The sequence below is a fragment of the Homo sapiens genome, chromosome X (genome assembly GCF_000001405.40).
Source record: "Homo sapiens chromosome X, GRCh38.p14 Primary Assembly".
NCBI lineage: Eukaryota > Metazoa > Chordata > Mammalia > Primates > Hominidae > Homo > Homo sapiens.
In genome coordinates, this window is record NC_000023.11 from 18,626,711 (window position 1) to 18,642,262 (window position 15,552).

General features: G+C 42.4%; 2 protein-coding genes across 5 annotated transcripts in view, besides 1 other annotated feature; one reads left to right on the forward strand and one right to left on the reverse strand.

Annotated features, from left to right (window-relative positions):
- The window catches only part of CDKL5 (cyclin dependent kinase like 5), a 228,022-nt gene that overhangs the window by 201,103 nt on the left and 11,367 nt on the right, over positions 1–15,552 (forward strand). For 2 of the 3 annotated variants that reach the window (NM_003159.3, NM_001037343.2), the window contains one exon: positions 1,661–1,877. In NM_003159.3, the coding sequence (NP_003150.1) occupies positions 1,661–1,877 (217 nt within the window). Of the gene's footprint in view, positions 1–1,660; positions 13,487–15,552 lie in introns of those variants that run through there. The other variant, NM_001323289.2, reaches the window with a different exon arrangement.
- RS1 (retinoschisin 1) overlaps positions 12,978–15,552 on the reverse strand; it is a 32,421-nt gene continuing 29,846 nt past the window's right edge. Inside the window, exon 6 of one of the 2 annotated variants that reach the window (NM_000330.4) lies at positions 12,978–15,446. In NM_000330.4, the coding sequence (NP_000321.1) occupies positions 15,294–15,446 (153 nt within the window). In that variant the 3' untranslated portion in view covers positions 12,978–15,293. The remainder of the gene's footprint in view (positions 15,447–15,552) is intronic. The other variant, XM_047442337.1, reaches the window with a different exon arrangement.
- Positions 13,954–14,123: a silencer, noted in NCBI's record as "fragment chrX:18658784-18658953 (GRCh37/hg19 assembly coordinates)". NCBI's record gives its function as "represses an EF-1alpha promoter that drives an FKBP-Casp9 reporter gene in an ReSE screen in both phorbol 12-myristate 13-acetate-treated (for megakaryocytic differentiation) and untreated K562 erythroleukemia cells {active_cell/tissue: K562 | K562(+PMA)}" and the evidence as "EXISTENCE:reporter gene assay evidence [ECO:0000049][PMID:32094911]".

Sequence of the window (15,552 nt, forward strand, 5' to 3'; positions counted from 1 at the left end):
TCTCTCTCTCTCTCCCCCCTCTCTCCCCCCCCCTCCCCCCCCTTCTCTCTTTCTTTCTGGCAGGGTCTTACTCAATCACTCAGGCTGGAGTGCAGTGGCAAGATTATGGCTCACTGCAGCCTTGACCTCCTGGGCTCAAGCCATTCTCCCATCTCAGCCTCCAGAGTAACTGGAACTACAGGCACACGCCACCATACATGGCCAGTTTTTTAATTTTTTTATAGAGACGGGGTCTCGCCTTGTTGCCCAGGCTAGAAGCTCTTTTCAAATAACTTTATAGCTCTTGCTGAATGCAGCTTATTGTAATTGCTTGATAGTTACATGTGGTCAAGGCTATAAAAATCACCAGGAGTCTCATCGTGTTATACCAATTTAATTATTTTTAAAAAGCCACTTTTGAGCACTTAGAGTGTACAGTGTGCTCTGCTACTTCCTGTAGGGAGCACAAAGCTTTCTTGGGAAGACTTTGAAATGATGATGGAGAATACTTTCCCCTGAAACAATATCTACTTGAGTCAGTTCTGAAGCCATTTACCTTGGGTTTCAGTGCCTAGTTCCTTCAAATCTTGTAATGTTCCTTGAGTTCGTCAACATTTTATTCAAACTTTACTGAGCCCTTAAATGCATGTCCCTTATACCATGACATTTACAGCAAAGGTACTCTGAGAATTGGCCCCAGAGGGGTCCCAAGGCTAGGGTTGTAGCCCAAGTGGCCAAATCCAGCAGTCATGATTGGCTGTGAATTTCCAAGTGCTTTCCATGTCTCTTCCGAGATCGAGGAAGAGGAGATTGAGCCATCTTTCATCGTTCAGGAGCATGAGGCTCAGGAATTGTCCAGTGAGCAGACGGCTCTGAGGCTCCTCCCCTCTGCCCTGAAGTCAGTCTCCCTCCTTGATGCAGCACCTGGGGATGTCTAGCTGCACAGTAGACAGACAGGCAGGGCGGACCACTGTGAGCCCATGTTAGGAATTGAAGGCCTCCTGTGAATTAATTCTTTAGATAGTTCTGATGGGGTTTTGCATATTTCTTTGTGCTTTGCATTTTCAATGCCCAAATGTTACCCTCCCCCTTTCAAAAAAAAAGCAAAAAAAAAAAAAAAAAAGTGCAGCAAGGGAACATTTGAATTTTGCAATATCGAGAGAGGGAAATTGGGGAGATAAGAACGAAAAGGGCTATACGACTTGTAGTTGAGTACATTGCTAACTAAAACATTCCATATTTTCAGCTTCTCTTGCTGCTAGATATGGCTGTGTACCTAAGTTCTAGCTGGTAAAATATAAGTGGAAGCATTTTGTGGAGCCTTTGGGAAGTCTTCTCAAAACAGAGAAACATACACCTTTTGCTTTCTCCTTCCTGCTGGTTGAAGCATGAGATCCCCTGATTAGAGATAGGATGCAACCAGGTAGATGAGCCTGGGCCTTTGATTGGCTGCCGTACCAGCTCTATATGTCTTATCTAGATTTCTAGGCTTTTCCATTAAATAATAATACAGTCTTGTTTGAAAAAACCCGAAGAACAGATATGGCTGGACCGGCTCCTCCTTGCACATGCTTGCCCTTCCTGGCCACACCCAGTCACCTCACCTCTAAGCCCCCTTCCCTCCCCAGCCTTATGGTCGCTCTAACTTGAATCCTGTGTGCATTCTCATCCTTTCTTTCAGAGCCAGCCATTAAAATCACTGCGCAAGTTGTTACATCTCTCTTCGGCCTCAAATCACCCGGCTTCCTCAGATCCCCGCTTCCAGCCCTTAACAGCTCAACAAACCAAAAATTCCTTCTCAGAAATTCGGATTCACCCCCTGAGCCAGGCCTCTGGCGGGAGCAGCAACATCCGGCAGGAACCCGCACCGAAGGGCAGGCCAGCCCTCCAGCTGCCAGGTCAGATGGATCCTGGTTGGCATGTGTCCTCTGTGACCAGGAGTGCCACAGAGGGCCCTTCCTACTCTGAACAGCTGGGTGCCAAAAGTGGGCCAAATGGGCACCCCTATAACAGAACAAATCGCTCACGAATGCCAAATCTGAATGATTTAAAAGAGACAGCCTTGTAATTTGTGCTGGTAGGGGGGAGGGGTGGACAGACAAGCCAGTGGGGAGGGGTGGGAAAGGGTGGGCTGGGCTTGGGGCATGGGCCGGGCCAAGTGGTGAGCCAATATTTTCAGCTTTATGAAGGTGTGTGCAATATTGCATGTGTTGGGGCCGTTGAGCTCCTCGCGGCCACAAATGCTAGTCAGGGATCTTAGAGCCACAGGAGTTCCTTAGGGATCGCCACTCCCCACAGGTCTTGTGTGAGAATAGATAGAGTGTGCCATTGAGGAAGAAGAAATTCTTGCCAGTTTCTCCCCTTTACATTCCAGCTTTAGTGCAATCTCTGTTGAACTTGGGAATGCCAGGATGTGTCCTGGCACTGCAAGGGATAGGAAAGTCGTGTTGACCGATGCCCTTACTACATATTTTTTTCTGCCTAGAGTAAATGTGGGGTTTATTGTAATCCAAGAGTATCCCTTTGAAGGGTTAGCAGATGAACTGTATGTCTTAAATTGTTTTCTAAACTTCCATATTTGATAGGATTTGTAACATTTATTTATAATTAATATTGTACTGTTAAAATCATATCTTTTATGTTATAATGTAAAGTTATTTTGAGCTGTTTGAAACATTGTGAAGCAGTGGGACAGCTACAGTAGTTTCTATAAAAACTAAACAGTAACATTTATATATTGCATCAGGAGTATTTTATTCTATATATAATATATATATATGGTAAATATCTGTTTTATAAATATATTCATTTAAAGAAAGTATCGTTATGACACTATCTGCCATATTTTTATACATTTGTGATATGAAGTGAGTATTATACTTCTACTAAAGGGAGTTGAATTGTGGCTACACGTGACTGTAACAGTATGAACCTTGCTCAACTTTGAGGCCCCAGCAGTAGCCTCTAGACATGATCCTTGGTAGCAGACGAGATGCAGCATCTCTTTCCAAACCTGCAGGGGAAGAAAGTCAGATAGGCCAGTGAGAATTCCAGCAGGCCTGGTTTCCGTCCTCACACACTTGGCTCCTGTTTGTGTCCAGGGACGTTACTTGCACACAGGGGAGAATAGATTGAGGCGTTACTCGTGGGTCTTTGTAGAGAGAATGTGCTCTTCCACTTAGCATTAGTGTAGAGCGTAGACCAAAGATTTGCCAGTGAACATTCCTTGTTGTGAGATCATAAGAGGTACCTGTCTGCAGATCTTGCAAACCATCTCTATGCTCCTGAATATTGTCCACTGTCCCGGAGACTCTTGGCTGATGGGGTGTGAGATATATGTGTGGCATTTCTATTTCTGAATGCCTTTTTTGCTATTGCTCTCTCCAATACCATATTTAAAAGGCTCCTGGAGCAATTCCAGATAGATAAAAAATTACTCTATCCATTTTTTTCTTCCTGGGGCTGTCCACTTATGACAAGATTTTCATGCACACCTGTTACGCACACAACCCCCATCAGAACAGGACCTATCTTCCCCTCATCTGATCTCTTTCAGCTCCCAAGTTACTCCCAAGTATCATCAAACCCTTTGGCCATCAAGTGTTATCCTCCCATGCCTCTGGGTCATCCTTGAGGGAAGTCACCTCAGCACCATCATCTATCAGTAGTAGTAGATTTTTGGAATTAGTCTCTGAGCAATAATACTTTTAAAGGTCCCTCCCACCCCTCAAAGAGATAACTTCTCAGTATTTATTACTTGTCCTCAAATTCTGAGTGTCAGCCCCTGCATCAAGTCAGCTATGATCAAAATGTGCTGTTACTGTTAACCCTCCCCCGAGATTTTGAGAATCATAGCTCTGATGATTATGAAGATTATAAAGACTAAGGTCCTAGTTTCCCTGAAGCTTAAATTGTGCACATATTGCATTTTTATATAAATACTATAATGTGTATTGATTATATAGATAGGTCATTTTAAGGTGCTTTTTATTTAATTTTAATGAGTGTAATAGGCACTAAAATGAAACTCGACTGGGTACTATTACTGAAAAAATTTGACTCAAACCAATAGTTTTGCATGCTCTTTAGTTCTTTTTCTGTCTTACTTCTTTCACCAGTTCAGTACTGTTTGGGTAGCTCTGAATTCTGGCTTTTCCAGGCAGCTGCTTGATGATACAAATGAGGTGGACCATCAGCAGTTTTGCCTGGACACTAATGACTCTAAAAGGGTGTGTATTTAACTCTTCTTTTTCATACTAGATCTCTACCTTGTATTCCCCCCTTGCAAACCAGAAACTACACTTTTTTTCTCTGGAAAGACTTCTCACTGTGCTATGCGCTTAGGAACTGCACGGTCCCGTTGCCATGCTGTGGCATTCGAGGCTCGTCACCTAGGGGCTGGTTTCCCATGTTGTCATCCTTGCTAACACTGGGATCTCAGATGTTTGCAGAACATTTCTATTCATGACGGTTCTTCAAAGAAGGGCTAGAATATTTGCCTTCTACCTAGAGCAAAGTAAACCTAATTGTTGAAGAGTCAATACGTACTTTTTGTACTTTCCCAGATTTGAGCCAGAAAATACCTACAGATATCTACAAATGTTTTCAACCAGTGTTTTCGAGGTAGCTCTTTAATCCTCTTCTCAGCTTTTGTCTGTTCTGACTTTTCATCCAATAAGCTGTAAGTGAACTACAATCTGCATTTCCAGCATGCAATTCTCTTCCTGCTCACGGAGGGGGATGCAAAAGTTTTCTCTCACACCTAATGGGCCCTCTCTTAGCTTTTAACTGTTGTTTTCCCCTGTTGATGAAAAATTACTGACATCACAAAGATTGCCATCCATGGTAGAAAGGACTTGATTTAAAGTCAGAAAAATTTGCCTTTTCTTTAGGAAGGGGAATTCATGACATCCATGTCCTATTATCGGCCGTAACTTCCTAAAGAAGAAAAAGGGTGAATGAAAGCTTATGTTACTTTTATGAAAGTATCACTGATCTCCTTTGGAAAAGAAACTCTGCTTCACTGTTTTTCTACCTTTATTTCTCTGCCATCCTCGTTTTTCCTCTCTGAAGTTCTAAATACCCTTTAACTGAACCTTGTTGGTCTTGCTCTAAAATTTAGCCTCTTTCTAGAGCCCAAGACCAAAAGGGAGTGCTTCATGCTGAGGGGCTCAAGTGAGCTGACTCTACAACTGTGGTTCTCAACTAGGGGCAGATTTACCCCCAAGGGTACATTTGGCAATGTCTGGGGACATTTGGTTGTCATAGCTGGGGGGGAGGTGATGGTATGCTACTGGCATCAAGTGGTTAGAGGCCACAGATGCTACTAAACACCCTGCCATGCACAGGACAGCCCCCCAAACAAACAGTGGTCCAGCCCCAAGCACTACTAGTGCTGAGGTTGAGAAACCCTGCCCTACACCATCCCAAGCCCACCAGTCTGCAGAGCTTGGCTCTGGCCTTGTTCTGTCCAGGCTACAGTACTGCAGGTGTGATTTCTTCAACATCACATTCTCTTAAGAGTCTTCAACCACTATGCCTGAATCCTTGGAATCCTATTGTTCGTTTCCATTGTCTTGGGCCTGCTAAAAGGTGCATACTTTGGAAGGAGACCAGAGTTACTTTATAGGTGTTGGAGAACTTAAATTCTAGGTTAGCATCCTTAGAAAATCTTTCATAGAGCCATGAGGCTTATATTTAGAAGCAAGCAACAGCCTGGCAGATTGGCATGATTTTTACCAACTGCTCAAAGGCATCCGTGGCTTTCAGCTGTGTCTCCCGAAAGAAAATGTCTTTGTTTTTTATTCAAGTCATTTAATAGCTCTTTACAAATATTAGCATATGGCAGACCAATTAGAAGCAAAAAAGTCCGTATTGGTGGTTGTGATGTGGCTGTTATAGAAGTATTTGTGCTGTATGCTTTGGTTAAATCTGTTTTAAAACATGCTTTAAGATTCACCTTACGCAGTTGTACTTTAATTCTAAGCTCAGAGCTATGCTGTCAGTCTCTAGTCACGCCATGTATTATAAAGTATGTTGTGGTTGTAGAGTTAGCCAGTTTAGCATGTTCCTAATCTGAGAATTAGTGGACTATACTAGGAAATGCTATCCCATTTTCCCTTTCCAGCCCCTCTTAGTTAAGATCATAGTATCCTCACTTCTTAAACTAGTCTTTAGAGTAAATAAGGAAAAAAGCCATTTATTTTCTTCTAGCCATGTATTATTGAGAATGACTCATAGTACAACTTTTTTTCAAAGGCCAGAGGATTACTTTGCAAGTGTGTAGAAAGATCTGTCTATTTCTGTTCACCTGGGACCTGGTGGTGACTGAACTCTTTCAGCAAGGGCAATGGCTCAATGTGATTCGGTGCTGGAGCTCAGCTGGGACTCAGTAAATCTGCACGTTCTCTGCTGGTCAGAACATGTTTCCTGGAGAGCATTGCTTTTCTATCTAGAAGTTCGTTACCTCCTGCATGATAGTGGGATATTGAGATGTGGGTTCTAAGATCCACAGACTCATACTTTTGTGAACTTTGGAATGTGGTAGGGTACACTGAACCAAGTCAGAAAATAGTGAAATATTTCCTTGCCTCCTTCAGTTCATCACTAAGAAAGTGTGTAGGCAGAGAAAACTTACTTATGGTTTGAAGAACCACAATTGTTTTTGAAAGGGGACATAGAAAAGACAGTACAAAGGTTGTAAGTGTCCTGTCGCTAATTCCCAGGGCCAGAATCTCACAAGAAGATCCTCTCAAAGACTTAAAAGCCTGGCTTACAAAAATAACCAGAAACCAAACTTGTAAGCAGTTACAATTTCTTCCTTTTGCTTCTTGACCAGCTGAGATACAGAATATCTTGAGGTCTGGTTCAGCTGATGAAAAATTCTGTCTCAGAAACGATGAGTAAGAAACCATACAAGAAAAAGAAGTCCCTCATCTATCTGCATACACGCAATGTGGGAGAAGTGGGGTGGCTAGGAAACTCTGGGCCTGCTGCCCCCTTCGATTCTTTTTTTTTTTCTTTGTGAATTGAATGTACGATACAAATGGTAGGCCTTCATGTGAGCCAGTTACTACATGAATCTTCATTTCCCACAGTGGTTTGTTCATTCATCAGCGTTAGGCTTGGTCCTGGCTCCACCTTTCTCCTCTCCGGGCACTGACCCCACCTTTCCGTGTATTTACTGTAGGCTATTAAATATGATCATGACCCGCCTTGCATTTTCATTCATCACCTGTTTATGCCCAAATTTAAAGGAAGTTTGTCTCATTTTGCCAGAAAAAAATTGTAATAGTCGGCACGCTGGATTTGTAGGGCCAGCAAAATTGCGGCAGTGAAACTAGTTTCACTTCTAAAGCCCTTCATTTCCCACAAGGTTAAGCTCTCGAAACCCCATTTGATCCTTGGTTCCTATTTCGATCCTCCTTTGGAATCTGAAAATCGGTCTCCATGTTGTATGCAGATTAGAAGTTGCCTTGTTTGTTACTCTTCCAACACAGGGTATCAGGGAGAAAGAGGCCTTATCTGTTCCTCCATCCCCCCTGTTTTGACAGACTGCTAAGAATTCCTCAGGACTTCCTTTGGTTGGGGATTTTACTTTCCCAAAAGTCTGATCTGATTTCTTTCAGGGGTAGACAAGCTTGTCCTAGTGCTCTGCTTCAGGTCTTATCAGAAGAAACCCAGGAATAGAAAAGGTAGATGCCTTGACTTTTGTCCCTGTTGTGGGGACTAAAGTGTTTTTTGCCAGAATTGTCAAAAGCTCCGGTTCAAACTCTGTAGAGTTTCATGGAAAAACAAAACAAAACAAAAAAGATGCTTATCGTCCCGGAGAATGTGTAAGTAAGTTCTCCAGCACGGCTTAGGTTTTCCAAAATGGAAAGCAAAGCTTGCAGACAACCTGTTTTCTCTAGAGACACACAATGATTCTGGCCCTCAGTCTGTTTCCCTCCCCTTGTTTACTCTTTGGTCACCGATCGAGTCAGGCTAGAGGGGTAATACGGTGATTAAAAGAAGTAAATTCTCACTGTAAACTTGGATTGATTAACAGAAACAATTAAACCAAACAAAATCATTGCCCCAAATTTCTATCTCCAAGAATTGCTTTGTGCCATTTTGAATTCAGGTAGTTATTCTGTATATACTTAGCTAACTATTCAGAGCTTCTTCAATCTCTAGTAAGCTTGAAGGTGGTGTCTGGGAAGACACAGGGCAGGGTGACATTTAGACTCTGTTCATTCTTAAAAATAGGGATAAGCCAGAATGATGTGACATCTAGTATGTGGTAGATGAAGAATCAGTGGAAATTCTTAATTGCACAGACTTTATAATCCATTATATAAAGTGTAATTCCATACTTTTTACTGTGGCAAGGGTGTGATGTGATTGTTAATCTTTTTAATTTTTGAATCCAAACTGAATTTAAAGTGTTGAATACTTAAATCCTCACAAGTGAATTATGAACCATTTGTAAAGTGTTTCTATAACTCTTTGTATCATGTGTTGGTACATCTTATCAAGTTTTTTCTGGCATGTAATTCCATTCTAAACTTATGTAAAATTTCTATTGTTGCTGTAAATATTACACAAATATCTATTCCGTGATAACCTTCATTATCAGCATGAAATGGTTAATTTTTACTGAGCACAATGTATTTTTGAATGGATCTTCCCAAATGTCTTTAATAAAATGCAGATTTTGCACTGACTGATGTGACTGCCAGGCCGTCCCAATCTTGAGCACTGTGGTCCTTCGTGTTTGAACTGCGAACAGCTCCATTTTAGTTCCTTCTTGGGAAGAAAGAATGCATTCGAATTCAAATGAGGGATGATGGGCCTTTGAGGTTGTAATCAGTTTGAGACAGAAATTAATGTAAAACTAGGCAAATCCTGTAACTTAATGATGTTGATCTTTGTTTTCCTATTTATAAAGCTTTTTTCCCCTTACGGCATTTTGAAAACTTTGGTTTGTTTTATACTTGAGTGTTGTCACCTTTGCACGTCGCTAGACACTCACGTGGTAGTTTGAGGAGGATGGGAAGAGAGGCCAATCTTGTGCTAAGTGCTATGGAGAAAGCAAAGATGCACAGCTTAATAAGGGTTTTTTGATTCTAGAGGAGAGGTGGGCAAGCTTTTCCTGTAAAGGGCCAGATGGTAAATATTGGGGGCTCTGTGGCCCATCAGTTCCCTGTCAACATTACTCAGCTCTGCCTTTGTATTGCAGAGGCTGCATGGATAATATGTAAATCAGTAAGTGTGGCTGTGGTCCCGTAAAACTTTACTTATAGAAACAGGCCATAGTTTACTAACCCGTTTTAGGCCCTCAGTTTCATCATTTAGGGTAACACCAACCGAGTACATGTTCAATCAGGAGGGAAAGAACTTAGCTTTTGTGATAACTTATAGATGAAATATTCCCCAGTTTTCTTTCTCTTTCTAAACAAAGGGTAGGAGCTGAAAGTCAGTGCTCTCCATTCTTAAAAGTCCTCTGTCAACCACCTCTTCACTCTATCTCCTTAAGTGACATGGAAACTTGTGGCCTGTGCTTTCAACTATAATCTTACCAAGACTGAATGAAAGTATTTGGTGCTTATACTTTTTAATGTTCATAGCACTTACTATGGCCAGGCACAATGCCCAAGTGTTTTGCTTTATTATTATTATTATTATTATTATTATTATTATTATTATTATTATTTTCACAACAACCCAGCGAAACAGGTACTATTATTATCCCCTTTTTGTAAATGAGGAAACAGATTTCCATACTTGACATTAACCTGCCCAAGGTCACCCAGTTTGGAAGTGGCAGGGCCAGGATTTGAAGCCGAATATGTTCATTGTAAAGCCCATATACCCTTAAAAGTCACTGCACGTCCACGTATGGTAATGTGGTCACAATCAGTATTGTTTCTCTTTAGTAATTCAGATTTATTCAAGTAACTCCAAGGTTCAAATTTTCAAAAACAGTTTCCAACACAGGTTATATTAAAAACTTTGCCTGAAGTTTACTCTAGGTGCAGAAATAAAGACAACTTAGTCAAGTGAAGGAAAGGGTAACAGACTTAGAAATGGCTATCTACACTGATGGAATAAGTATACTAATTAGAGCAGGTAACAAGTCCCCACGATGTATAACATATTCTTCTCTAAAAGCTCACAACAATTTATGTGCCACCTTCCATCCCCTTTCCCAGCAGATGGTAATTGATGCAATTTGAGAATAGAACACTTCATTGAAACAAGTCACTGGAGGTCCTCTGGGGATGCAGCTTAAAAGCCCAGGATCAGGCCAGGTGTGGTGGCTCACGCCTGTAATCCCAGCACTGTGGGAGACTGAGACGGGCAGATCACCTGAAGTCAGGAGTTCGAGACCAGCCTGGCCAATATAGAGAAACCCCGTCTGTACTAAAAATACAAAAATTAGGTCTGGGCGGTGGCTCACGCCCGTAATCCTAGCACTTTGGGAGGCCAAGGTGGGTGGATCACGAGGTCAGGAGTTCGAGACCAGCCTGGCCAACATGGTGAAACCCCGTCTCTACTAAAAATACAAAAATTGGGTGTGGTGGTACATGCCTGTAATCCCAGCTGCTTAGGAGGCTGAGGCAGGAGAATCACTTGAACCCAAAAGGCAGAGGTTGCAGTGAGCCGAGATCACGCCACTGCACTCCAGCCTGGCAACAGAGCGAGACTCTGTCTCAAAAAAAAAAAAAAAAAAATACAAAAATTAGCCGGGAATGGTGGTGAATGTCTATAATCCCAGCCACTCGGGAGGCTGAGGCAGGAGAATCACTTGAACCCAAAAGGCAGAGGTTGCAGTGAGCCAAGATCGCACCACTGCACTCCCACCTGGACGACAGAGCGAGACGCCATCTCAAAAATAAATAAATAAATAAATCCCTAGGATATAGAGTCCGCTTGCCTGGGTGGAGTCTTGGCTCCATCTCCTACATCTCATGTGACTTGAAGCAAGGCACTTCACTATGCCTCAGTTTCCTTATCTTTAAATGGAGGTAATCACAGTACCTACCTCAGTGTTGTTGTGAAGATTTAATGAGATAATAACCTGCAGAGCACTTGAGAGTCTCAAGAAATATGAGCTCTTATAACATTATTGCTATTGTAAAACATTGCTATTACTTCTGTCCCAATTTGGCAGTTTCAGGAAATTGAGAAGGAATGTCACTGAATCTTTAATGCCAGTTACACAGAGCTCAGTAGGTGTCCGCACAGCCCTTTAGATGCACGTAGCCTATTTGATCTTCGTATCAGCCCTGTAAGGTTGGGCTTAAGAATGACCCAGCATGGAAGTACTCTTGGGACCACAGGGGAAGCAACAGTCCTTGTAAGCTGTTTGTCAGTGGGCCTTAGCAACCAAGCCCCAAGTGGACAGAAAGATGGGGTTCTGTGAGCATCCATTCCAAGGGTCACTTTAGGGGTGCAATCTTCTGGGCTCTGAGAATGGATTCACAGCAGCATCTCTATCTGGAAATACCTTTGCTTTGTCCAAGTAACCTCCTCCCACACAGAGTACCCGAATCAGCTCAGATTTTTTTTCCTTAATATTGGCAACACTTAATGCTACTTCTTTGTTCGTAACATTTCATTTAATTATTTAAAAATCTGCAAATGTTGTGTATATTTTACCGCAATTTTTAAACAAACTCCAGTGTAGACCGTGCTCTAGCATTTCTAAAAATAAAAGTAAATATGTTAAAATAAGGTAAGAGTGAGTTTTTCCTACACTATGTATAATTTTTAATTGAAAGTTTCCCCCACAAAAGAAATGATACTTGGAAGCATAGTTTGTGTGTTTGACAGCAAGATTCTATTAGGCTTCAGATTTCCCTCAATAAAAGTTTTAGTTTTTATACATTCTGTCATGAATTGAATGAAGTAAATAATATGCTGTTGTAAGCAAATTATCTGCAGATAAATGTCTTATGAATCGTATATCTTACTGTTTATTAAATTCTGAAGTATTGAGCAGTTTCCAATGTGAAATCCCAGCTGGCTTCTTTGCAATGATGGACAAGTTAGTTATAATTCATATGGAAATTCAAGGAACCCAGAATAGCCAAAACAATCCCGAAGAGCAAAGTTGGAGGACTCACATGCCCCAATTTCAAAACTTACTACAAAGCTACAATAATGAAGAAAGTGAGGTAATAGAATTTGGAGTCCAGAAATAAACCCTCTCACATTTATGGTCAATTGTTTTTTGACAAGGGTGCCAAGATCATTCAATGGGGGAAAGAATAGTCTTTTCAGCAAATAGTGGTGGGACAACTGGATATCCACATGCAAAAGAATGACGTTGGACTCCTATTTCACACCATATACAAAAATTAACTCAAAATGGAACAAAGATCTAACTGTAAGAGGTAGAACTATAAAACTCATAGAAGAAAACATAGGGGTAAATCTTCATGACCTTGGATTTGGCAGTGGTTTCTCAGATATGACACCAAAGGCACAAGCAAAGAGAAAAATAAATTGGACTTCATCAAATATTTAAAATTTTGTGCTTAAGAGGACTCTATCGAGAGGGTTAAAAAGATCCACAGAATGGGAGAAAATATTTGCAAATCATATCCAATAAGGGAATTAGAATATACAAAGAATTCTTAAACTCAGTAAGTTGTAAGCCGATTTAAAATGGGCAGAGGATCTGAAAAACCTTTATCCAAAGATGTACAAATGGCCAGTAAACACATGAAAAGATGCTCAACATCATTAGTCACTAGGGAAATGCAAATCAAAACCACAGTTGAGATGCAACTTCACACATTATGGGTATAGTCAAAGATGGACAGTAACAAGTGTTGCTGAGGATGTGGAGAAAGTGGAAGCCTCCTACATTGCTGGTGGAAATGTAAAATGATGCAGCCACTTGGGATAATAGTTCCTCCAAAGATTAAACAAGAGTGACTGTGTGTCCCAGCAGTTTTACTCCTAAGTATATACCCAAGATAAATGAAAACACACATCCGCACAAAAACTTATACACAAATGTTCATAGCAGCATTATTCATAATAGCTAAAGAGTGGAAACCCAAATATCCATCAATGGATGAATGGATAAATAACAATGTGCTCTTGACATGATACTGAACAATGATGTTCAGCAATAAAAAGGAGTGACAAGTGACATAGTGATACACATGTTATAACGTGGATGAACTTTAAAACACTATGCTAAGTGAAAGAAGCCAGTCACGAAATACCACATACTATATGATTTCATTTATGTAGAACGTCCAGAAGGCCAATCTACAGAGACAGTCGATTCGTGGTTGCAGAGGGCTTGGGGTGGCCGATGGGTTGGGGAGTGTTGGCTGATGGGTGCAGGATTTCTCTTTGGGGTGATAAACTTTCTAAAATTGATCTAGTGATAATGGTTGCACAACTCTGAATATACCAAAAGTCATCAAATTGTACACTTTAAATGGATACAAATTGTATGTGAACTTAATCTCAATAAAGCCGTGACAAAAGTTTCCAACATGAACTCTTATTTGGAAAGCCTTTCTCCCTGCCTCACTGTTTCCTCCTCTCCTTTTTCCCTGAACTGCACTCTCTCGACTCCTGTGTTTGATGTGCCTTAACTCTTAGGATACTGCCATTTTGTCTGACAGTCCATGTCGTGACCAAAGTTAATTCACCTTTCCAAATAAGGGTCTCTGTTCAGGCATTTCTATCCAAAATAGATTTGTCCTGTGTCCTAAGGCCAGGGATAAGTCCCCCCACCCCCCCCCCCCACCCCCAACACCCTGTGTGATGTGTTTATATTTGAGAGAAGATTGGGCGGGGAAAAGCATTTTCCGAAGTTCAAGCATACAGCATAGGGACTAGAAAGATGCTGGGTTGGATATAAAATAATTGAGCCCCCAAAGCATCAAGAAGGATGTTTGGGGCTTTTAGAAGGCTGCCTGTTCACAGAAAAGGTGAATGTGTTGTCCAGCACTGTATTAGCGCGAGTCTAGTCACTTGCCTTGGCATTTGAAAATGAAAAGTAACTCGGAAATGAGCTGCTAGCAAAGACTACCCTGTGTCTGGGGCCAGAACAGTCTTTAGAGCAGCCTCGTCCTCTGATTCCACCACCTGCTCTCCATATCCCTCTCCTGCCCCTCCCCCGTGTTAACAGCCTCTCCCAGGAAGGGGCCTGGAAACTCAGGCTGCGCTCTAAGTGGCCAATGAGGCCTCCCAATCTAAGGCGCCGCCTCCAGGAACGGAAAGCCAGGCCCATTCCTTCCCAGAGAGCTTTTCAGGAGCAGGCGCAGTTTGCGTATTGCAAGGCAGAGGGTGGAGGGTGAGAAGCTTTCAGGGAAAAAGCTACATGGTCCTTTTTATGATGTGAGTCCTTCCCACTTCCTGCGAAGCATGTAGCCAGCTAATGAGCCTCCTCTGAGTAGCCAGTGGTAGCTCCTGGGCCAGCTGTTCTCGAACTATGTTTGGTTTGCTAGGAAATGGTAGCCCTAGGTAAAGGGCAATTGTACTGTGTTGTGGTCATTTGGGGTCCCTACATATACTGAGATGTGCAGCCTGTCCTGTATGATCACCTAAATGGTGACCACAGACACGGGGAATTTGCTGGAATGGATTGCATAATGGAGCTGTGTGTATTGGGCGCTCTGGTCCCTCCCCAATCCCTGTGTTCATGAGGGTGGAAGCCCAGATCCGCCTTGAAGGTAAGAACTGTGAGCAGAGGAAACTCCCCTACCTTGGGCTTTTGGTCATTTGTCACGTATAGCCTCTCAGGGCACCGGGATTCTCACCCACCGCACTCATCCCTGCCACCCAGTCACCCTTGAGACCCTCAGCTGCCTCCCCAGGGCTCTGAAGTCCTCTTTGGCGATGATTTAGTGGAAACTTAACTAGGAGGAGCTGCTCCCTTCTGCATTCAAAGCCAGGCTTTAGGAAACTGTATGTTTCTGTCTTGAATGTGGTAAAGCAAATGAATTTTCAAATTATCAGGGCTGCTTTGTGTTCCCCTGAGACTGCACCTTTCACAGTATCACTGAGACAAAAAATGAGCAGAAAATTACCCCTGCTACTTAGGCTTTTGTAAGAAAATTCGTTTCGGGGACATTTTCTTTGTTCTGACTTTCTCTGGCCCTGAGTGGGGAATAAGTTCATTTTTATTTCATTGAAATCAGAAAGCTATATCTTAAAAAAAAAAAAATTATCTACCCAGCACTGCAGTTACAATTGCTTTGCGAAATATAGCCCTGTCCATCTCGGTGGTGTGTGAGGGGGTCCCCTACGGCCCGCTCTGTGCCAGTCACCCCCTGGCAGGCGCCGAGCTGAGGCAGGCATCAGGCACACTTGCTGACGCACTCCAGCAGCTCCATCCGGATGGCAATGCGGACGTGCCAGCCCAGCGGGATGAGGCGGATGAAGCGGGAGATGATGGGGGGCCGCAGCAGGTTCTGAACCGTGGAGGTGCGGTCCGAGTTGCCATAGAAGACCTAGAGAGATAGAGGAAATCCTGTCACCATCACATCGGGGAGGGAAAAGGAAGAAGGGTTCCTTTCTGGAGCTAGCCCCAACTTTTAACTATAGAAATGATTAGGA